This window comes from Homo sapiens, chromosome 1, assembly GCF_000001405.40.
Source record: "Homo sapiens chromosome 1, GRCh38.p14 Primary Assembly".
NCBI lineage: Eukaryota > Metazoa > Chordata > Mammalia > Primates > Hominidae > Homo > Homo sapiens.
Genome location: NC_000001.11, coordinates 208,955,777 through 208,981,364, shown reverse-complemented (window position 1 = coordinate 208,981,364; position 25,588 = coordinate 208,955,777). Strand labels below are relative to the sequence as shown.

The window sequence follows — 25,588 nt, the reverse complement described above, 5'->3', positions numbered from 1 at the left end:
TAACCTTTATTAAGCAGTTACTATATGCCAGGATCTCTTCTAACAGGTTAATATGTATTAACTCTCTTAACTGCCACAATAATCCTATGAGATACTACTTTTTTTTTTCCATTTTAGAGCTGAAGAAAGTGAGCCATGGTGAGGTTAAGTCACATCGCCAAGTACACATAGCTATAAAGCGGCACATTTATAATGGGAACTCATGATGATTGGCTCCAGAGTGTAACTCCAAAAAAAAGAGAGAGAGAAAAGAAAAAGACAGATCATTCAATTGAACAGAAGGCAAAAGATTTCAGCAGGTTATTCATGGAAGAGAAAGCCAGAACTGCCAATAAATATGAAAATATGCTCAACCTCACTAATCAGGGAAATGCAATTTAAAACCTCAGTGAGGTTTCTCAACCATCAGATGGGCAAATTTTTAAAAGTCTAAGAAATACCAAATGTTGACCAGATTTGACAAAAAAGGGGGATTCATATATCCTGCTGAAGGGAGTATAGATTGGTACACACACTTTGGAAACAAGTTGGCTGCATCTAGTAAAATTGGCACAGCATGTACCTGATGACTCAGAAATTTCACCTTCCAGATATAGTCACATGCAAAGGAAACATGTATAAGGATATTCAATGTGATTTTGAACTATAAATAGAGAACCGGAAAGAGTGTAGGGAGCAAAAAAAATAAATTGCAATGTATTAGTAGGATATAATGCTCTTTAGCAATTAAAATTAATGAGTTAAATTTGTATGCATCAAATTGGATGGATCTCTAAGATTGTACTATTGAATGAAAGAAGTACTATGTAGTCCTTATACATATGTGGAATATTACACCATTTATTTAAGTTATTAGAGCATAAAAAATACTATGTGTTGTTTATGGTACTCAAAGTAGAAATACGTGAGTCTAGGGCATAAACTTACTTAACAATGGTTGCTTCTGGAGAGGGAGGGAAGTGAATAAGACTTCAGAGACATACCAGGATTTAGTCACATATTTAATATTTATTATATAAAGATAATGCACATATGACAATATATTCTGGTGGGAGGTACATGGGTTGATTATTGTCTGTATATTTTACTATACTTTTAATAGTAAAAATAGAATAAAGGAACAAGAAAGATGATTAAGACATAGTCCATACTTACAAAGATCTCATCTCTATTCATTCTGACACAAAGCTCTGTAAGTAAACAGTACACTTTAAACAGTAAAGACACACACAAGAGTAACGCTTCCTGCCTACCAAGCTTGTATTCTGTCCTCCTGGATATCTGCTTTTGCCTGCAGCAGGGAGAAAAATCAGAGCTGAGGCCTGACTCAAAGATTATCTATGGCCCTCATGGAAGAGATGAGGAAACTGATCTACAATGGGAGAACTGGCCTAGGATCAAGGATTATAGAAAGCCAATGAGTCACAGAACTTAGACCAGAACCTAGACCTCAAGACTTGTAAAATAGAAAGTACAAATTGAAGGCCAGCAGGTCAAATTAGGTCCACAGACTGGTTTTGTCTGACTTCTATATAGTTTCTTTTATTTTTTTTAAAGAAATGTGAACATTATTATATACTGTGTACAGTTAGCCACAACCTCTTGAACTCCCTATTTTCTCATGTGAACACTTTACTTATTCATGTTATCCTTAAGTATATTTAAATATATTTGTGTTTGTGACCTTCATCATGGAATCTTGGACATGGAAGTAACCTTAGGGAAAAAAGGTGACATGTTCTCAAAGTAGTAATTGCCTCGACGACATCCCTGACAGTTGGAACATGCATGCCTCTGCTTGAACACTTCAGCTATAGGATGCTTACCAACTTTCAACATAGCCCAGAAAATCTTTGGACAGCTCTGACTGTTAGAAAGTTCTGCCTTTTATGGAGTCAAAGTACGTTTGACTTCCTTCTCACTCATTATTCTTAGTCCGGCCCTCTAAAGGTGCCTGAAATAAATCTAATTGCTCTTCTGAAAATATTTGAAGACAGCAACGTTGTTGAACTAAATCATTTCTTCTTCAGGATAAACATCTTGCTGCTTCTCACTCTTCTAGAGTTACTGGTTTTCAAACTCTTAGCGATGCATTCCAACTCCTTGCTACCTGAAGGTGAGGGAGAAAGATTGTTTATGGATGCATTAGTCTGTTTTCACACTGCTACAAAGGGCTTCCCTAAGACTGGGTCGTTTATAAAGGAAAGAAGCTTGACTCACAGTTCGGCATGGTTGGGAAGGCCTCAGGAAACTTACAGTCATGGCAGAAGGGGAAGCAGGCACCTGCTTCACAAGGCAGCAGGAAAGAACAAAGGAGAAACTTCCAAACCCTTATAAAATTATCACATCTTGTACGAATTCACTGACTATCATGAGAACAGCATGGGGGAACCTGCCCCCATTATCCAGTCACCTCCCTCCCTCAACATATGGGGATTACAGGTCCCTCCCTCGACACACGGGAATTATCATTTGACATGAGATTTGTTTGGGAACACAGAGCCAAACCGTATCAATGGGTATCACAGTCAACATTCTTCATCCACTGCTTTACCATTCATCTATTTACATTCAGAAGAATGTATGGCTTCCTTCCTCCCTACTTCTCCAGCCCTTTTTCCCACTTACTTCACTTCATTTTCTTTTCTCCTTTATTCTCTTTGCCTTCAACCTGTGCCATATTCACGCGTTGTTTTCACTCCAGCAATGATGAACAATATTTGAAGTTCTCTGAACAAAGCATGCTATGTAAAATAGTATCACTATATCACTTCATATCCTGCTTTCTCCACATGAAATATCTCACTAATGATTTCCCCCTGGAACCTTCCATTTATTCTTCAAAACCCAGCTTCAATGTCACTGTCTACTGAGGCTTTCCTATGCCTTCAGCCATCTCTTTCTCTTCTTTTACACTCCAGTCAAAGTTAATCCCTTCCTCCTGCATGCTGACTTCCATGTTATGCAAATTTCTATTCTTGCACATCTCCCACTGGATTACAATTATTTGTTTGCATTTCTATTTCCCTTTTTTGTATTATAATGTATTGGAGGGAAGGGCTTTTGTTAATCCTTTTTGTAATTCCAACATTAAGCCCAGTACTGGCAATAATAGGTGCTTAATAAAATGCTTCCTGAGTTAACTGCAATTCTGATATCACGGGATATATCGCCTTAAGGCCATTTACAATTTGCCTTAAGGCCAGCTTGAGTGTTCTCCATTATCCAATTAGAATTGAGGTGCCCAAGAACAGGATTCATGTTTTGTTTTCCTTGCCTTCCTAGTACCACATACAACTCCCATCATCACTTAGATGACTGTTAAAGGAACAAAGATGATTCACAGGCTTGTGGTGTGTTGCAAGCATAAGAAATACAGATTTTTTTTAGCTCTCCATTGTAAAGAAGATTAAAAATGTATATACACATAAAGATTAAATTTGTATGCATATGCATATATGTACACAAATATTTGTATACAGCTATCACTATATATATGTGTAAATAAAATAGTGTTGCCTTTGCACATTCCAGCATATATACATCTTCTGAATTGCAAAGTGCACTCCAGTTTATTTGAAGTGCGGCAGAATATGTCTAACCTCCTAGGCAAAGTTTCTTGTTAATTTCCTTTGCCTGCATGAATGTATGATTTATTTAATGAAACTGCCATGCAGCAAATAAAACCTTTGTTCTACCTAGCAGACTAGTTCCCCAACATCACAGAATCCATAGCCCCAGTTACAGAAGTTTACATAGGAGCAGTGGTCCAACTCAGAATCCCAAGTACAAAAGTCTCCTAGCCCATTCTCACTAGATGCAGTCCAGTGTCTAATTAGCCCAGGGTAAAGGGAATGAGAAAAAAAATTTAAACAATACAAAACAAAACCGTAGTCCTAACTGCTTGTGGCAGTTGTGTTTTTTTTCATTTTTGTTTCTCTCCTTTGTCCTCAATTCCTATCACTTCACAGGGATGTGTTCAGAAACTAATGTGATTAACTGGATCTCTTTCTTTCTTCTCTTCCTTTATCCCTCTCACCCTTTAAAAGAAAACTTATATTTTTATTGTTCAATCAGTGAATACCAAAGAGTTAGTGATCTGTTTCAAAATTGTTTTTATAGAAAAAGACCTTGAGTCATTTCAGTCTGAACCTCTGGGAATGTATCCAAGAGAGATGAGAAATGTATCATACCTGATTTTCACTCTGCTCCTTTGCAATCCCAACCCAAATTAAAGAAACCATAAGATAAACTGCAAAGTGAGGAATCTATACATTATTAAATATCAACAAAGAACATTCTTTTGAAGCTGCAAATATGTATCACCCTAAAGCAAGGCCTATTTCTGACCAGCAGCAGGCAGATTTGTTTGATAAGTTCTAATAATATTTTAGCTTTTATTCCCAGTTCCCCTAAGGCTTAACATTGTAGAAGATGTTCTTTGTTGTGAGGTTTACTCTTAGCACATGTAACATCTGGGTTCATGATTGCACATGCTTTTTTGTTTGTTTAACAATATGCATTCATTCATACAATCAACATTTATTGAACCCTTACTTTAAGAATACAAACATAGATGGTATAGTTTCTATCTTGGTAGTATTCTAGTTAACTAGTGCTTTATAATGAACCTCCTTAAAGTGCCATGCTTTATACATTTTGCTCACAGATTCTGTGGATCAGGAATTCAGAGAGGGTATGGTGAGGATAGTGTGGCTCTCCTTTACAATGTCTGGCCTCAGCTGACAAAACTCAAGGCTGGGGGTGACCAGATGGCTGAGAGCTAACACCATGTGAAGGTATAATTGGCAGTCATATTTCTGGCAGTAGATTAACTCAGTGGGCTGGGACATCAGCTGGGGCTGTTTGTCAGCATTCATGTGGCCTCTTATGTGCTTGGGCTTCCTCGCTGCATGGTGGCCATGCAGTAGTCGAACTTCCTATGTGATTCCAAAGGAGGATGTCCTAACTGTAAGAAAGTTGTATAATCTTTTCTGACTTTTTCTTAGAAGTCATACAGAATCACTCCACTGCGTTGTATTGGTTACATGCAAGTCACAAGCCCAGCTAGAGTCCAAGGAAGAGGACATAGATCCTATCTCTTAATGGAAGGTGTGTCAGGTCACACTGTAGAATAATAAGAGATACTTTCATGGTCATTGTTGGAAAATGCAACCAGCCACAAGTAGTTTATAGTTTAGTAGGAAAGTTAGACATGTAAATGGATCAATTCAAGAAAGGGTTATAGTGCTATTTAAAAAAAAAAGGACTTGTTGAGTACAGCAAAATACCTGGTCAATCATATCGGGAGAAAATAAGGTCAGAAAATGGTTAAAGGAGGCAGTGCCTCAAAGTTGGTAAGTGATAGTGGTACACCTCTTGGTGAAAGTTGTTGAATATTGGGTTTTTAAGGAGTACCTTACATAAAACACCCTTCTATCAGTAACACATATACAGTATTTAAAAGATATCTTATGTTAAAGCAAAAAAATAACACCCCAAACCCAGAAAGTCACTGTATTTTACAATGCCTTTCAAAATCCCTTTGCTAGTTGGGGAATGAGCTTGAGATAAGGTGAGAACACCTGAAAAATGGTGACCTCCCTGGGGCTGGAATGAGCAAAGGGCAGGATTAGAAATTACATTGTAATTTTTGCCAGGCCACACCACCACAACAACCCTTGACCTGCATAGGAGCTCCTGAAGCTGTGCTGGGCCCGCAGGAGAATGCTGCTCAGACAGGACTTACCTGTCCTCTCTCAGGCACATCTCTAGTCTCACAGAGCAGATGTGTCCCAAGGATCACCCAACCCAAGGTGCTATAAGCTTGATGCGTTGTCTGTTCTCCCCAGGTCTTGGGACTTGATAAAATGATGGATTTGTTGAGGCTTTATGGGTTGTTTCCCCAGGGATTCAAGCATTTTCTGACTTTATTTAAGGCTAAGGTCAATCTTTGCAGCTTTGAAGTAGCACAAAGGCAATAAGAGAGTGTCCAATGTTCCTGGAGAGAGAGAGGCAGAGAATGTGTGCATGAACATCCCCCAAAACAAACTGGAAAACCTTTTCCATGTTTTATTTATTTTGTGTTATTAAAGGAGCATCACTGTGTCATCCGTGCTGAGCCAGAGCTTCTAATTCAGTGGAAATGAAATTCCAACCCAGTGTGTGCTTAACTTCCCCAGCACAGTAAATCCATTTCTCTTTTTGTCTCTGTCTCATCTCCCCATTTGTAGTGAAGAGATGTGCAGTACAGCGATGAAGTCTGTCAGTGGGAAACCACTCTGGCAATTTCGGAGTGATGTCTGAAGAAATGAATTGAGCAGGCTTGCCTGGGGTGGAGACACAAGAAAGACCATGCTTTTATAGTCACTGCTGGGTTTGTGATTTGTTGTATGCTGCCTATCTATGCAGATTCTTTTCTGTTCCAACACATGAAGAAAAACATGCCCAGTCAGATGCTCCCGGCTTATCACTCCATATCAACCCAGAAGCAACACAGGTTTTCAATTTCTCCATTTGCAAGTGCAATTGAAAATTGGCAGAGGTTGCTATGTAGGGATAAAATGAACAGTGGTGCAGTTTGGCCTCTACAGATAGAGATGGCATCCATGAGGGTGTGGGGCGGGAGTGGGATAAAGGATCTGGGAATCATCTCACCCATATTTGATTGCTGGAAGCTCTGGTAAGCCATATTATGGTATTCCTTTCCATACTTAGGCTAGCTCTCTTTTGCTTCTGAGCATTTGCCCATGTTATCTGCCTCTACTTAGAACTCTCTCTAGTCCCCCCATTATATCCTGTCTTCTTCCATGCTCCTGTTTCATCTTTCTTTCTTACTTTTTAGAGATAGGGTCTCATCCTGTCACCCAGTCTGAGTGCAGTGGCATGATCATGGCTCACTGAAGCCTCAAACTCCTGGACTCAAGCCTTCCACCTCAGCCTCCCTAGTAGCTGGGACTACAGGCATGTGCCACCACACCTGGCTAGTTTTATTTATTATGTTGTATGTATGTATGTATATATGTTTTTAGAGATGGGGTCTTGCTATGTTGCTCAGGCTGGTCTCAAACTCCTGGGCTCAAGGGTTTCTCTCACCTCAGCTTCCTGAGTAGGTAAAATTACAGGTGTAAGCCACCACACCCTGCTTTCCTCTTCATCTTTCCAACTTTAGCTTGCCCAGTTTCCATTTTGATGTCACCTCTAACTGAATGCCTTCCTTTCCCTTTTAATACCTGATTTGGCCCCTCCCTCACTGTGCTTCCTTAGTCCCTGAACTTATTTTCAACACAAACTTCTCATGTGGTATTATAATTTCCTTTTTTTCTTATTTGATTCCCTCACTATATTGTAAGGTATGTGAGAGCAGGAAACCTATTTTTCTCTGCTGTTCTGTTTCTATGCACCTACTACAATACCTACCACATTGCAGATGCTCAAAAATTATGAATTAATAAGGTAAGAAAATATAAGTTAAATCCTTTGTCCCGCTCCTGCTCCCCCACTTCACAGATACTATCTCTATCCATAAAGGCCAGTTTGTACCACTGTTCATTTTATCCCCACGGAAGCCTCTGTCAACTTTCAATTGCACTTACAAATAGAGACATTGAAACGTTATATATAAATTGAAGTAACAGGTAAATATGTGATTAGAGTTCAAATGGGTCAGTCAAATAATGAAAAGGGAATAAGGTTTTATACCAACCAGATTTGAAAACAGAAAATATAATGCATATTAGTCAGCTCAGGCTGCTGTAATAAAATGCCATAGACCAGGTGGCTTAACAACAGATATTTGTTTATCACAGTTCTGGAGTCTTGGAAGTCCAAGATCATGGTGGCAGCAGATTCTCTTTCTGGTGAGGGCTGTCTTGCTGGCTTGCAGATGGCTCTCTGCTCATTGTATCTTCACATGTTGGAGACAGAGAAGCAAGCTGTTTGGAGTCTTTTATTTTTATTTTTTTTTATTTTTAGAAGTAAGGGCACTAATCCCACTATAGGGACCCAATCCTCATGACCTCATCGAAACCTAATTACCTCTCAAAGGCCTCATTTCCAAATACTATCACATTGGGGTTTAGGGCTTCCAAATAGGAATTCTGCACAGTAACAGTAACAGTGAGATCTTGGTGAAAGTTTTACATACACTCAGAAGACAGCAATATTATAATAGTAGGATATTTTTAGAAAGAAATACATCAGTTGGAATCAAAAACTCTGTAATATATGAAATTGACTCTATAATCATACTTCTGGCAATATAACCTAAGAAAATAGTCTTAAAGAAGGAAAAAGCTGTGGACATGAAGAGTCTTCATTTTAGCATTGTTTTCAATACTGAGAAATTGGAAACAATTTGAACAGTATAGGAATGGTTAAATAGATGACAATATCATGCACTATAATACTATATTATGCAGCCATTAAAATCATAGATTTGAGGCTTATTTTGTAACACAGAAAATATTTATTGTGTAATTTTAGGTTAAACAATCTAATTGTACCTATACTATGGTTTAAATGATATAAAATTATGTTTTTGAATGCACAAGTTCCTAATAGGAATAAATGGAAATAGCTGTACTTACTGGCGTGGTTGGATTTAGTGCAATTTTAGCATTCTTTTAGCTTTTTTAGTGCTATAATGCAAGACTTTAAAATGATATTTTAAAAGAAAGATACTGAAGAAGCTACTGAGAACTGAGTCATAAGGCTTATGTATTCTTCTTTCAAAACATCTTCCTGGGATTTGTTTCAGACAATCTTGGCTAATGGGTACAGAAATCTCCTTTCACTCCTCTCAACATGGAAACCTCAAGATTAAATGAGAAAGATCTAGTATATGGGAGTTTGAATGATTTTTTTCTTCAGTTTTTACCTTCTGATGAGGCCACCTACATGTTGGGAGTGTATCTTCCCATGGTCAAACAATTGTTTGTCCAAATACAAGAATCTGTGAATTTACAAAGGCGATTATTACATCACCAACTATGGATTGGCTACAGAGCCCCATTTTATTGCTTCCTATTTGTTCACATAGGTATTTTTGAGCACAAACCTGCACTTTTTCTAAACCCTCACTCAAGAAAAGAATATATCAGAGACATTTTTATCTACATTCATTTGAATGTAGGATGATCTGTCTGACCAGGAGCATGTGAGGTAACTTGGGATGGTGGAAAGATGGAGTCTTTGTGGTAGACAACCTAAGTTTATTTATAGGACCATGGCCAAGTTAGGCAGTCTTTCTGGGTCTTGATCTCAGCTGAAAAATTTGGAGGCAAATCACTACCTTATGTGATTCTTATAAATGAGATAATCTGCATAACACACTCAGTTTAATATCTGCCATACAGAATCCTATTCTTCAGTTTAACAGACCTTGAACGCCTACCATATTCCGGCTAACTAGGACATGTAGCCAATCGAGCCAGCTTAACCCTTCACACAGACTGCTCTGTGCTCATGAAAAAGTCAGGATCACTTTTATGGCTAAATTGCAGTCACACGGTTTCTGAATCCAATACTGAGAGACTGGGACCCCTTAGGGGACTATTGCCTACAGTGGGTGACTGTATGACCTATCAGAGATTAGAGATTCAGATACTGTCTTCCTTAACCCAGTGAGAAATTCACAGGAGAGAGTGCTGCACCCTGTAAGTGGGGCAACAGCAGCATTTACGGAGGCAAAATGTGCAGTTAACAAAATATAGACAATTAAACCCATGTCTCATTGACCTAGCTTTGTCTGCATTCTGGGACTGTTCTCTTTGTAGCAGTGACTTTAGTTCTGGTCAGAAGTGCTTTCATCAACATTAAACTACGAAAAGAATAGTTTTTTTCTCTAACTCTTTTCTCACTGTTTGCATAATAAAGGTATTTTTTTGATCGGCAAGTGATCTTATGAAAGAATGTAATAGGAGATCAAGGAAGTCTAATTTTAGTCTCTCTCCCACGGAGACTCTGTGATTTGGGGACATATAGCTGAAGTTTTCTGTTTTCCAGTCTTCATGTTTTAAACTGTTTTAATAATTCCACAAGATTCCTATCCACAAATAATTCCACAAGGAAGAAAGGAGAACACTGCAGGAAGCCTGGTGAGCTCGGAGGAAGAAGAATGCTATGGAATCTGTAGTCCCGCAGATCTGCGCACGAGGGTGGTCTGCACATTTTTGCTGATCTCTGACCTGGACTACATCCATGCACTCTAAACATATTTACCTCATTAAACAAAGTTTGGTTTTTGGCCATCACTTCAAATTCAGCACAATCATTTTCCAGGCCTCTACCCTCGCCACAAAAAAAGTCACAATCAGTTCCTTCTCCAGTATCCTATCTACTGAGGACACTTAAACCCACAAAGTCATTGTCTACTCATTTTGCTTCCTGATCGCTACCTTCCTACAGCATCTGACATCATTTTCTGAAATGTATGTGGCCTCTTTTCCCCTTCTACTGTTTTTACCCTCCTGGAGGTCATATCAGTTCTCCCCAGGAATTCTGTCAGAGACCCTACAGTCTGCATTTTCCTCTCTTCGACCCACAGCAGCATACACTTCCTTAATGCTTATTTTGTCCTGATTGTCTTCTGATAGTAAAAACTCTGCTCACTTTTCACTTTGTGTGTGTGTGTGTGTGAGGGAGTTTTGCTCTTGTCACCCAGGCTACAACGCAGTGGCACGATCTTGGCTCATTGCAACCTCTGCCTCCTGGGTTCAAGCAATTCTCCTGCCTCAGCTTCCCGAGTAGCTGGGATTACAGGTGCCCGCCACCACGCCCAGTTAATTTTTGTATTTTTAGTAGAGACAGGGTTTTGCCATGTTGGCCAGGCTGGCCTTGAACTCCTGACCTCAGGTGATCTGCCCTCCTCAGCCTCCCAAAGTGCTGGGATTACAGGTGTGAGCCACCGCACCTGGCCACTTTCTATTTCCTCTTGCATCAAGTCTCGTTTTCTCTCCCTGACTCCTAAGAACCTCTGCAGCTCCTTCACCCCAGGCTTTTCCCAATCCAGCCGCACCCTGCTCCCCAGCTACTGCAGTACCACTTCTCTTTTCTGAACAATTTTCTACCTCTCTCCCTCATAACTTTTTGGTCTGGTCCAATACAGTGTCCCAGAACTGCCTCTCAGGACTGAGCTGCTTTCTTTGCCACCATTTTCCTTTCATGCTGCTGGTTCTGGGGACTCAGGTGGCGTTTTTTTCATCTTTTAGGAGCAACACCCTCTCTCCGGGAAGTAAAAAGTTAGACAGTGTTTTCAGAGGCTTGCTCTCTGATCCATCACTTCCCTGTCTGTGATTATTTCTTTGTTATGATTTCTGAAAGCACTTTGTGCAAACCACCCTCTTTGGTTGTGTAGATAGAGTCATAAAATCAACTCTCATGACAACTTGGAAAAATTAATCTTCTTTGTTTCATCTATAACTCCTGCAATTTTCCTCTCTAGCCTCCAACTTGCAGAATAGGAAGAAAAAAATTAATTCTTTTCAGTCTAAGGTGGTCTAGAAAAGCAACAGCACCAGGATTACAGCTCCTTGACCAAGCTTCCCACCCTGTTAGTATAGCTGGGATGCTGATTGTTGCAGGGGCAATTTAAGGAAAACAGGGACTAGAGGCAGAGGGTCCTGCTGCTCCATGTATATGCCCCATCCTCATGATCTGATGTGTCTGTGCATTCCAAGCCTAAGTTCAGAGAGTGGAAACACCAAGGTGCCCATGGTCACCCTGCTCACCTCCTCCCTCCCCCTTCTCTTTGCTATCCCTTTGCCATTCAATGGCCTCATGTGGGAAACTTTCCCCCTTTTTGGACACTTATACCTTTTATGGATGTTCAGCATCTTTGAACAGCATTGCTTCTTTGTTTCCCTGCTCACCCCCCTCTACATTTCCCACCTTCTGTCCTCAAAAGTAGAAGCCAGAACTTGGTTTTCTAGTCTTCCTTATGGCCTGTGACCTAGACTCAGTTATTAGAGGCACCATCAGTGTGAAACCTGGAATTAGAAGACAGGTGTGGAGAAGGAGGTGCTGTCTGCCATGGTTTCCCGGTGAATATGGGCGACAGAGCAGAGAGCTACTGAGTCACAGAGGTCCTGGTGTGCTTGCTGGCTCTTCTGCTCCATGGCAGCAGAATCACTCTTAATGCGCATTCTGGTGGTATGATTTACAAGTTGTTCCTGGAGATGCTGCTTCTGAGCCTGATTCTCTGGCTTGTCGGACAATTTCATAAACTATCTAATATTCTTAAATACTTCTGCTCCAAGTGGCCAGAGCATTTTCACTCTAAATACTAATATAATACCCTTTCATCATCACACACGCACTGACTTTTTTGCCTGGACCACTGTTATATAAAACATACGGGCCTATTTTGATCCTTGATATATGCTAACTGGAAGTTTACAAATATCTGTTTTTCAAGTTTAGTCTTGCCAGGGAGTTAGGTTCCCATTATGCTATGTAAATGTATAATGTAAATGTATCATTACTCCAGAGTGGTTTGGAGGTAGAAGGTTGCAAGGGAAAAGTATTTGAGAATAATATTAAAATGCATCAATTTAATATTTAAAAGCACATGACCCCATTAAATATGCTTTCTGGGAAGATTATGCTTATCTTTTTCCCCAGGGAGACCCCATTTCTCTGGGAATTTTCTGAAAAATTCAGTGGCATGGGTAATTCACATCCCAGAGTCCAAGGATCATTTGCATGTTTGAGGAATGCCAGACTGGGTGAAAGCCCTTCTTCCTTTGGGACATTTCGTTGCAAGTGTATCCCTGCTCTATGTTCTTCCTTGTTGCTGCACTTTTGCTTCTGCTGGTCCTCTCCCTAGAAAGTCCTAGCCACACCCAGGATGATGCTTCCCAAACCACTCGCTCTTCACAGTGCAGTTTCTCTTGATGACTCTGATTCCCAATGAATTCCCTCCCCTGTACACTGGTTTAGCATTTAGAATAGGTGTCACACAGTTTAGCACTTAATCATTGCAATATGTATCACACTTTGGCAGAAATAAACCTTAAGAGAGAGTATTCTAAGAAATGTAGTTTCTCCAGTTTCCCCCAACTAGAATTCAGAATCTTGATTATTATAGATAAAAAGAGTCAGTTCAGCCTAGTGTCGTATATTATAATAAAATAGCATAAGGGAGTTTGTTTCTTCTTAGAACTCTAGATTTGTGTATTTCCTTTGGGATATCTAATAGGCATCTTGACACAATATGTCCAAAACTGAAATACTTTTTCCCCCAAACCTGCTCGTTATGTGATCTTCCCTCTCCATAAATGGCAACATAGGCCTTCTTAGTAGTTCTGGCTAAAAGCCTTGGATTTGGCCAGGTGTGGTGGCTCATGTCTGTAATCCAAGCATTTTGGGAGGTTGGAGCAGGTGGATTACTTGAACTCAGGAATTTGAGGTTGCAGTGAGCTATAATTGCACCACTGCACTCCAACTTGGGTGACAGAGTAAGACCCTGTCTCAAAATAAATAAATAAAAGCCTTGGACTTATCCTTTCTTCCTCTCTTTCTCTCCCAAACATATTTAATCCACTTGTAAATTTCATAGGCTCAACCTTTAACTGTATCTAAAGTACAGTCACTTCTTCCCAGCTTCGGAGCTACCATCATCTCTCTTCCAGATTATTGCAGTTGCCTCCTATGAGAATAGTCCTGGTACATCTGGCACTCCCAATTCTGCTCCGGCCCCCTGCCTTAAGCCTCAGCACATTCTCCACACAATCCTCGAAATAAAACTTTCAGACTTTATGCCACGTCATGAAACTCCTCTCTTCAAAAGCGTCTATTGGTTTCCCATGTCACTCAGAGTGAAAGCAAAAGTTCCTCCAATAGCTGAGAAGATCTTGTATGATGAAGCTCATGGCTACCTTCCTGACCTCATCTCTCACTCTCCCCCAGCTCAGTGTTCCAACCATGTCAGCATCTCTGCTGCTCCTCAACTAAAGAAAACCTGATGATACTTCAGAGTGTTTAATCTTTGCTTGTTCTTTTATTTGGAATGCTTCCTATCCACATTTCCAAATAACCACTTCTTTCCTTCCTTTGGGTTTTGCTCTAATGTTACTATTTTAGTGAGACCTTCTAAAACTACCTATTTAACCAGAAGCCTATTTACCTTTCACCGGTCTTCTGTCTTCTAATTTTCTCCATAGCACTTCTTACTGTCTGCTGTACTATAGAAATGCTAGGTTATTTATTTTTTGTCTGTCACCTCCCGTTAGAATGTAAGCTCCATGACAGCAGAGATGAAGATAGAGCCTGGGGAACAATAGGAACTGAATTAATAGTTTTTAAATGAATGAATTCATAAATAAATGAAAGGATAGGGCTAAGTACTATTTGAGAATAGATTAACCTGTATGTTTCTATAAGAAAGAAATCATGGAATTTTCTACATAGTTAACCTTGACATAAATTTTTAAGGAATCTATAAAAGCTAAAGTGTGTAATTTTAATAACAACTTCTAGTCTCTCTGCAGTAAGCATATTAACATAAGAATCTTTCTTTTCTTTTTTTTTTTTTTTTTTTTTTTTGAAACAGAATGCTTTGTCACCCAAGCTGGAATGCAATGGTGTGATCTCGGCTCACTGCAACCTCCACCTCTCGGGTTCAAGCAATTCTCCTGCCTCAGCCTCCTGAGTAGCTGGGATTATAAGCACCCGCCATCATGCCCAGCTAATTTTTGTATTTTTGTAGAGATGGGATTTCACCATGTTGGCCAGGCTGATCTTGAACTCCTGACCTCAGGTGATCCACCCACCTTGGCCTCCCAAAGTGCTGGGATTACAGGCATGAGCCACTGCGTCCGGCCTAACTTAAGAATCTTTCACTATTGTGGCCAAGAGAAAAGTCTTGGATTTGGATAAACTGGATGCTTCTTTTTTCCTGTCTTGGGTATGTGTGTCTATTTTTAAAATATCTTTCTCTCTGTGTGTGTCCCAATGAGAATAGTCCTGGTACATCTGGGATTGTGATGACTGATGCCTTCTTTGAGGACCTGATTACAAAGTTTTGTTATGTTGGTTTGCATAGTTGGTTTACATAAAATTTTATGGAAGCTTTATATTTCCTCAGCAACTTTGCATAGCACTTGCTGCCTGTTTCATATATTCCCTTTGGAATGTGTCCTCTTTCTCATTCTCCATGTCTGTGTCTCCCCCTCTGTCATCTGCTTACATTTTTATCTACACACTGTGGCTCCTGCCAGACCTTCAGTACTCTCTCCCTACTGCATTCTCTGCATTTTCTTTGATACTTTACAAGGAAGGTAAAAGTTTTACTTTGCTTCCTTTAGTGAGAAGGGTCATTTGCTTGTTAATATCCAAGGTGAAAGAAGATTCTCCTATGAAGCCTCATCAAACATCTTCCTGTCTGCCAAAGATGTAGGCTATTGCTGTGATCTAAGCTTGACCCCAGTCCTGTGGGCTAAAAGATATTAATACATAGTTTGATGGTAATCTTGTTACCCAACTAATTATAGGTTCCTTAAGGACTTGGGAGCAAATATCTGTTTTCTCATAGCACTTAGTATAGTTGGGTACATCATCAGTTCCTAATATGTACTTGTTTAACTTATTCTTTCTTTTGGTCAGGTCTTTTTTCATTTAACAAGTATGTGTGGGCCCACCATATACCAGACATTCTTCTATTACTGGGGATATAGCACTTAAAAAACAGACTTGAATCTCTGCTGTCATAGAGTTTTTCACTCCAGGGGAGGGAGGCAGACAATGAACAAATAAGTGAATATGCAATACATCAAATAGTGATCAGTGCTAGGAAGAAAACTGAATTGAGTCACAGAAATAGGGAGTACTTGGAAAGGGAGAATTGAAAGGCCATATATGGCAAACCCACAGCTAACATCATAGTGAATGGGGAAAAGCTGAAAGTCTTTCCTGTAAGAACTGGAACAAGACAAGAATACCCACTCTCACCACTCTTATTCAACACAGTACTGGAAGTCCCAGCCAGAGCATTTAGGCAAGAGAAAGAAATAAAAGGCACCAAAATTGGAAAAAAGGAAGTAAAATTGTCCTTCCTTTCAGACAGCCTTATCTTATATAGAGAAAAACTTAAAGAATCCACCAACAAACTCTCAAAACTGATAAGCAAATTCAGTAAGGTTGCAAAACACAAAATCAACATATAAAAATCAGTACTGTTTCTATACACCAATAACAAACTAGCTGAGATGAAAATCAGGAAAACAATCCCATTTACAATAGCTACAAAAAAATTAAAATATGAATAAATTTAATCAAGAAGGTTACACCAACAACTACAAAAAGTTGATTAAAGAGGCCAGGTGCCGTGGCTGACACCTGTAATCCCAGCACTTTGGGAGGCCAAGGTGGGTGGATCATGAGGTCAGGAGATCGAGACCATCCTGGCTACCACAGTGAAACCCTGTTTCTACTAAAAAATACAAAAAAATTAGCCGGGCGTGGTGGCGAGTGCCTGTAGTCCCAGCTACTCAGGAGGCTGAGGCAGGAGAATGGTGTGAACCTGGGAGGCAGAGCTTGCGGTGAGCCGAGATCACACCACTGTACTCTAGCCTGGGCAACAGAGTGAGACTCCATCTCAAAAAAAAAAAAAATTGATTAAAGAAATTAAAGAGAGGGCCAGGTGCAGTGGCTCATGCCTGTAATCCCAGCACTTTGGGAGGCCAAGGTGGGCAGATCACGAGGTCAGGAGATCAAGACCATCTGGCTAACATGGTGAAAACCCACCTCTACTAAAAATACAAAAAAAAAAAAAAAATTAGTGGGGCGTGGTGGCACGTGCCTGTTGGGAGGCTGAAGCAGAATTGCTTGAACCTGGGAGGCGGAGGTTTCAGTGAACTGAGATTATGCCACTGCACTCCAGCCTGGGTGACAGAGCGAGACTCCGTCTCAAAGAAAAAAGAAAGAAAGAAAGAAAGAAAGAAAGAAAGAGAGAAAGAAAGAAAGAAAGAAAGAGAGAAAGAAAGAAAGAAATTAAAGAGGACCCAAGCAAATAAAAAGACATCCCATGCTCATGGATTGAAAGGATTAATATCATTTACTATCATTAAAATGACCATACAATCCACAGGTAATCTATATTTCAATGCAATCCCTATCACAATACCAATGACATTCTTCACAGACATAGCAAAAACAATCCTAAAATTTATATGTAACCACAAAAGACCACGAATAGCCAAAGGAATACTGAACAAAAACAAAGCTGGAGGCTTCATACTACCTGACTTTAAAATATACTACAAAGTGATAGTAGGCCAGGCATGGTGGCTCATGCCTATAATCCTGGCATTTTGGGAGGCCAAGGCAGGAAGATCACTTGAGACCAGTTGGACAACATAGCAAGACCCATCTCTACAAAAAAATAAAAAATTAGCTGGGTGTCATGATGTGTGCCTATAGTCTCAGCTACTGAGGAGTCTGAGGCTGGAGGATTACTTGAGGCCAGGAGTTTGAGGCTGCAGTGCACTATGCTTGTGCTATTCACTCTAGCCTGGATGACACATTGAGACCCTGTCTCAAAAACCAAATGAACAAACAAAAAACTTCCAAAAGCAATAGTAATCAGAATAGGGTGGTATTGAGACACATAGACCAATAGAACAGAATAGAGAACCCAGAAATAAATCAATGTATTTATAGCCAACGGATCTTTGACAAAGGAGCCAAAAACATATTTTGGTAAAAAGACACCCTCTTCAAGAAACAGTGCTGGAAAAACTGGATATCTACATGCAGAAGAATAAAACTAGATCCCTAATCTCACCGTATACAAAAATCAACTCAAAATAGATTAAAGACAAACGTAAGATCTGAAACTATAAAATTACTAGATGGAAACAGGGGGAATGCTTCAGGAAATGGGTCTAGGCAAAGATTTTATGGCTAAGACTTTAAAAGCAAGGCAACAAAACCAAAAATAGACACATCGGACCATATTAAACCAAAAAAGCTTCTGTACAGCAAACAAAACAATCATTAAAGGGAAGAGAAAAGCTGGAGAATGGAAGAAAATATTTGCAAACTATTCATCTGACAAGGAACTAATATCCAGAATATACATGGAACTCATACAACCCAATAGTGAAAAACCAAATAATCTCATTAAAAGTGGGCAAAGAATCTGAACAGACATTTCCCAAAAGAAGACATAAAAATGGCCAACAGATATGTGAAAAAATGCTCAACATCACTAATCATCAGGGAAATGCAAATCAAAACCACAATGAGATACTATCTTATCCTAGTTAAAATGGCTAATGTCAAAAAGACAAAAGTTAACAAATGCTGGCAAGGATGTGGAGTAGAAGTAACTTGTACACTGTTGGTGGGAATGTAAATTAGTATAGTCACTAGGGAATAAAGTATGGCAATTTCTCAAAAACTAAAAATAGAACTACCATACAATTTAGCAATCCTACTTCTGGGTATTTATCCATAGGAAAGGAAATCAGTATATCAAAGGGATATCTGCTCCCCCATGTTTATTGCAGCACTTTTCATAATAGCCAAGACATGGAATCAGCCTAAGTGTTCATCAACAAATGAATGGAAATATGGTATATATACATAACAGATTTAGCCATGAAAAAGAGTAAAGAATAGACTCTTGTCATTTGCAGCAACATGGATGGTACTGGGAGTCATTATGTTAAGTGACAGGATCCAGGCACAGAAAGACAAATATCACATGCTCTCACTCATATGTTAGTGCTAAAAAAGTGGATCTCATACAGATAGAAAGTAGAATGGTAGTTACCAGAGCCTGGAAACAGGGGTAGGGGGAAAAAGAGAGGTTGGTTAATGGGTGCAATCATATGGTTAGATAGAAGCAATATGATCTAGTGTTTGATAGCACAGTATGGTGATTATAGTTAACAATAATATATAGCATATTTTAAAATATCTAGAAAAGATTTAAATTTTTCCAACACAAAGAAATGATCACTGTTTGCGGTGATGGATATCCTAAATACCCTGATTTAATTATTATACGTTGTACGCAAGTATCAAAATATCACATGTATCCCATAAATATACAATGATTATGTATCAATAAAAATAAATCATTTTTTTTTTGGCTGGGCACGGTGGCTCATGCCTGTAATCCGAGCACTTTGGGAGGCTGAGTCAGGCAGATCACAAGGTCAAGAGTTTGAGAACAGCCTGGCCAACATGATGAAACCCCGTCTCTACTAAAAATACAAAAATTAGCCAGGCGTGGTGGTGCGTGCCTGTAATCCCAGCTACTTGGGAGGCTGAGACAGGAGAATTGGTTGAACCTGGGAGGCGGATGTTGCAGTGATTGCGCCGTTGCACTCCAGCTCTGGGCAACAGAGCGAGACTCTATCTCTGAAAAAAAAAATCAATTAAAAAAAATCTCACTGACAACATGTAAGGAGAGATCTGAGGAAGTATAGGTGAAAGCAATTAGGATATCTGAGGGAAAGCGTGTTCTAGGGAGATGGAGAAACAAATGCAAAGGTCTTTAGGTGGAGATGTGTTTCTTGAGTCCAAGGAAAATCCAGGAAGCTACTATGGCCAGAATGGAGTGAGCAAGGTGGAGGGTATTAGAGATAAAATCATCAAGGTACTGGGGGAAACAGATTTGAACGTATTAAAGAAACTTTGTAAGTTCTAGACAGGGGAGTGACTTTACTAACTTACATTTTAAAAGAATCATTCTCAATGATTTGTTGGAAATAAATGAGAAAGCATAAGGGAAGAAACAGGAAGATTAGTTAATAAACTATTGTAATAATCCCAGCAAGAGATGGCATAGCTTGGACAAGAGTGGTACCTGGGGAGGTGGTAAAAAGTTGTTGGATTCTGAACATATGTTTAAAATAGAACTTACTATATTTGTCAGTTGATCAGAGAAGGGGTACAAGAAAAGGAGCAGAGTCGAAATGACCCCCAAGTTTTGCAACCTGAGCCAAAAACGATTGCCAATTATAGCATGATTGTTCAATTGTAGGAATCATCAGTCATGAGAGAAAAATTGATGTTGTGAGAGGCAGATGGAGAATTGCTGGGGTAGATGAAAGGAGTGGAAAAGCTTAGCAAGCACAGACTATTCATCCATGAAAACAGAAGGATAGGGCAACCATTCAGTGACAGCTGTGGGTAGGTGGTTGGGAATGCATTTCTGGTTACCCTGTTATCTTAGTCAAATGGGAAGCAAGGCCATTACTCCAAGGTGATAATTGGGGAGGAGATAATAGAAGTTTGAAGAGAGTAGAAAAGGTGTGAAGTGGTCAACTACAAGTAAGAGGATGAAAGGATTTGGGAAATATTGCCTTACAAAACCAATGGCTTACTGGCTTGCTTAAGATCACAAATGTATTCAGCAAAATTGTGTAATTTTCTCTAGACATATTTATTTATTATTTTTATTTGAATATATTCATGGGGCACAACTGCACTTTTGCTATATTGATATATTGCACTGTGGTAAGGTAAGGGCCTTTAGTGCATCTGGAGCAACCCACATTGAACCCAACAAGCAACTTCCCATCATCCACCTCCCTTGCACTCCCCCACACACCTCAAGTTTCTACTGTCCATCATTCTATGCTCTGTTTCCATGTTTACACATTATTTAACTCCCACTTATAAGCGAGAACATGTGGTATTGTCTTTCTGAGTTGTTTCATTTAAGATAATGTCCTCCAATTCTATCCATGTTGCTGCAAATGACAGGATTTCATTCTTTTTATGGTGAAATAGTAGGCCATTGTGCATATACACCATATTTTCTTTATCCAATACTCCACTGATGGACACTGAGGTTGACTACATATGTTGACTATTGTGAATAGTGCTTTGATAAGCATATGGCTGCAAGTATCTTTTTGATACACTGCTGTATCTTCCTTTGGGTAGCTACTTAGTAGTGAGATTGCTGGATCATATGGTAGTTCTGTATTTAGTTCTTTGAGAAATCACTATACTTTTTTCCATAGAGGTTGTACAAATTTCATTCCCACCAACAGTGTATAAGTGTTCCTTTTTCTCTGCATCCTCTACAATGTGTTGTTTTTTTTTTTTTGTCTTTTTAGTAATATCTATTCTGATTAGTGTAAGATAAAATCTCATTCTGGCTTTAATTTGCATTTCTCTGATGATTAATAATGTTGAACATTTTAAAATGTGCTTGTTGGCCATTTGTTTCTTTTGAAAAATGTCTATTCATGTCCTTAACCCCCTTTTTAAAGATTATTTCGAGTTTTGTTGTTGTTGCATTGTTTGAGTTCCTCATAAATTTTGGATATTAGTCTGCTGTCAGATGTATAGTTTGCAAATATTTTCTTCCATTCCACAGGTTGCCTATTCACTCTGCTGATTATTTCTTTTTCTGTGCAGAAGCTGTTTAGTTTAACATAGTCCCATTTGTCTCTTTTTGTTTTTTGTTACTTGTGCTTTTGAGGTCTTGGTCATGAATTCTTTGCAAAGACCAATGTCTAGAAAACCTTTCTCTAGGTTTTCTTCCAGTATTATTATAATTTCAAGACTTACATTCAAGTCTTTAATCCATCTTGAGTTGATTTTTGTATATAATGACATAGGGGTCCAGTTTCATTCTCATGCTTATGACAATCCACTTTTACCAGCACCATTTACTGAAAAGAGTGTTATTTTCCCAGTGTATATTCTTGTTGACTTTTCAAAAATCAGTTAGCTGTAAGTATGTGGCTTTATTTCTGGGTTTTCATCTGTTCCATTGATCAGTGTGTCTATTCTTAATACTAGTACCATGCTGTTTTGGTTATTATAGCCTGGTAGTATAATTTGAAGTCAGGGAATGTGATGCCTACAGCTTTATTCTTTTTTGCTTATAATTGCATTGGCTATTCATGCTCAATTTTGGTGCCACATGAACATTAGAATTGTTTTTCCTAATTCTGTGAAAAATGACATTGGTATTTGGCTAGGGATGGCATTGAACCTCTATATTCCATACTTTGGGCAGTATGGCCACTTTAATGATATTAATTCTTTCAATCCATGAGCATGTTTATTAGACTGTTCTTACATTGATATAAAGAAATACCTGAGACTGGGTGGACCCCCAGTCTTTCTTATGCATCCTCTGAAAACTAGGCAGAGGCTGCCAAGAATTTACCACTCTTGCATTCAGTGTACCTGCAGGCTTAACACCACGTAGAAGCTCCCAAGGCTTACAGCTTGCATTCTCCAGAGCAACAGCCCAAGCTGCATCTGGGCCCCCTTTAGTCACAGCTGGAGCTAGAGTGGCCAGGATGTGGGAGGCTGTGTCCCAAGGCTGTGCAGGTCAGTGGGGCCCTGTGCCTGGTCCATGAAACCATTCTTCCCTCCTAGGCCTCTGGGCCTGTGATGGGAGGGACTGCCACAAGGTCTATAAAATGCCTTTGAGGCCTTTTCTCCATTGTCTTTAATAGTAGCACTTGGCTCCCTTTTAGTTATGCAAATATCTCTAGCTAGCAGCTGCTCCAGAGCCTGCTTGAATTCCTCTCCCAAAACAGCTTTTTCTTCCTCTGCCACATGGCTAGGCTGAAAATTTTCCAAACTTTTATGCTCTGCTTCCTGTTTAAATATAAATTTCAACTTTAAGTCATTTATTTGCTCCCACATCTGAGACTGTTAAAAGCAGCTAGGCCACATCTTGAATGCTTTGCTTCTTAGATACTTATTTTCCCAGATACTCTAAATCATCAACATGAAATTCAAACTTCCAACACAGCCAAGTTTTTTGCTAAGGAATAACACACATTACCATTGCTCCAGTTCGCAATAAGTTCCGCATCACCATCTGGGACCTTGTCAGCCTATACTTTACTGTCCATATCACTATCAGCATTTTGGTCACAACTACTTAACCAGTCTCTAAGAAGTTCCAAACTTTTCCTCGTCTTTCTGTCTTCTTCTGAGCCCTCCAAACTCTTCCAACATTTGCCCATTACCCAGTTTCAAAGCCATTTCCACATTTTCAGGTGTCTTTATAGCAATGCCCTTTCCTTGGTATCAATTTTCTGTTTTAGGCTGTTCTTACATTACTATAAAGTAATACCTGACACTGGGTAGTTTTTAAAAGAAAGAGGTTTAATTGACTCATGGTTCTACAGGATTTATAGGGAGCCTGGTGCTGGCATCTGCTTGGCTTCTAGGGAGGCCTCAGGAAGCTTAAAATCATGGTGGAAATTGAAGGGGAAGCAGGCACATCACATGGCCAGAGCAAAATCAACAGAGAGAGTGAGGTGGGATGTGCCATACACTTTTAAAAGAACAGATCTCATGAGAACTCACTATCACAAAGATAGCACCAAGCCATGAGGGATTCTGTCCCATGATCCAAACACCTTCCACCAGGCCCCACCTCCAGCATTGGGGATTACAATTCAACATGAGATTTGGTTTGGGACAAATATTCAAACTATATTAGCATGGGATGTTTTTCCATTTCTATCATCTACAATTTGTTTTATCAGTATTTTGTACTTTTCCTTGTAGAGCTCTTTCACCTCCTTGGTTAAATTTACTCCTAGGTATTTTGGTTAAATACACTGCTAGGTAAATGGGATTGCCTTCTTGATATGTTCCTCAACTATATCATTATTGGTATGTGAAAATGCTACTGATTTTTGCAAGTTGATTTTGCATCTTGAAGTTTTACTTAATTCATTTATCAAATCTAAGAGTTTTCTGGTGGAGTTGTTAGGGTTTTCTGGATATAAGATCATATCATCAGAAAACAGGGATAATTTGACTTTGTCTTTTCCAATTTTGATGTTTTTCTTTTTTTCTCTTGCCTGATTGCTCTGGCAAGAACTTCCAGTACTATGGGAAGTAAGAGTGGTAAAAGTGGGCATCCTTGTCTTGTTCCAGTTCTTAGAGGGAATGCTTTCAATTTTTTCCCCACTGAATGTGATGTTTGTGGGGGATTTGTCATGTATGGCCTTTATTATGTTGAGGTATGTTCCTTCTATGTTGAGGATTTTTATCATGAAGCGATCCTGAATTTTATCAAAGGGTTTTTCTGCATCTATTTTAAGATGATCATATGTTTTTTGTCTTTAATTATGTTTATGCGATGTACCACATTTATTGATTTGCATATGGTGAACCATCCTTGCATCCCTGTGATAAATCCCAATTGATCTTAGGATTACATCTTTTTGATGTGCTGTTGGACTCAATTTGGTAGGATTTTGTTGAGGAATTTTGCATCTGTGTTCATCAGGGATATTTGTCTGTAGTTTTCTTTTTATGTTGTGCCCTTGTCTGGTTTTTGTATCAGGGTATACTAGTCTCAGAGAATGAGTTAGGGAGTATTCTCTCCTCCTCTATTTTTGAAATAGTTTTGGGAGAATAGGTATGTATGTTTGGTAGAATTTGGCTGTAAATCCATCTGGTCCTGGGCTCTTTTTTTGTTGGGAGATTTTTAAAAAATTACTGATTCAATCTTGCTACTCATTATTCATCTGTTCAGGACTTCCATTTCTTCCTGGTTCTATTTTGGGAGGTTATATGTCCAGAAATTTATTCATCTCTTCTAGGTTTTTCTAGGCACATTTAAATGCTTAGTTGGGAATTTTGCTGGGTGATTTTGGTGAAGAGAAAAAAGATGAGAGAAAGTCAAGGGTGTCAAAATTGTGCACAAGGGAATGATTATAGTTATTCATCTTGGCATGTATGCCCATGTAAAGGAAATGATGTCATGGAGGGAGTGAGAGATATTGAAAAGCTTGTGTGATGGATAGATTTTTAGATATAGTTTGGCAAGTTTGCACAAAAGAAATACTGGAGATGAGGCACTTGAGTCAGAAAGACAAGAGATGCTGGCAAGATTAGAGGATGCTTAAAATTGATATTAAGTTGATGTTATTGATAATGACAAGATATAGGGAATGACCATGGGATTGGGAAGAATTACTGGAGATGAGGCACTTAGAATAAGCTGGAGAAACAAGAGATGCTGGTAAGATAAAGAGGATGTTTAAAATTGATATGAGTGCATTGTTATTGGTAATGGCAAGGTCTAGGGAACGACCATGGGATTGGTTGGCTGAGAAAATGGAAGAGATTAAGTCATGGAACTGAGAGTCCAGTATTGAAAGGAACATCTTCAGGCATATTAAAATCAGGAAGAACTGTGACAGGAGTTGTTTAGAGAGAGTATCGGTAAACCAGGGGCTAAAACCAACAAGGAATAAAGAAGCTTAATCCATCTTGAGATCTCTAGATGAAAAGGAGGAGGGAGTGATAATATAATTTGATGGCGTTGCCATCAAAGCTGGAGAGGAGAAAGAGGGAGTTATGTAGGTATAAGGGCTAAAGATCTGGAAGTGGCAATAGGAAACATGGACTTCAGATGGCCTGCCTATAGACAGTGTTATCAGTGGTATGGCGGCCTTGAGTTTTCTAAAATTTTCTAAGTTAAATCACTTGAAAGGGCTGTAGGAAAGGCAGCATCTTTTGGAAAGAGTCAGGTGTCAGTGAAAGCAAAAAATTTCAAAGAAGACATTATGTATATAGAGGTTTCTGATGACCTCAGAAGCATTTCAGAATATATTTTGTGCCTCAGAATTTTTGT

General features: G+C 39.2%; 2 long non-coding RNA genes across 3 annotated transcripts in view; one reads left to right on the top strand and one right to left on the bottom strand.

Annotated features, from left to right (window-relative positions):
• The window catches only part of LOC107985255 (uncharacterized), a 313,794-nt gene that overhangs the window by 151,884 nt on the left and 136,322 nt on the right, over positions 1-25,588 (top strand). The gene's annotated exons all lie outside the window — the stretch shown is intronic.
• LINC01774 (long intergenic non-protein coding RNA 1774) lies at positions 6,058-8,911 on the bottom strand. The gene is made up of 2 exons (NR_146915.1): positions 8,589-8,911; positions 6,058-6,329 (listed from the first exon to the last, which is right to left on the bottom strand). It is a non-coding gene; the product is annotated as a long intergenic non-protein coding RNA 1774 (long non-coding RNA).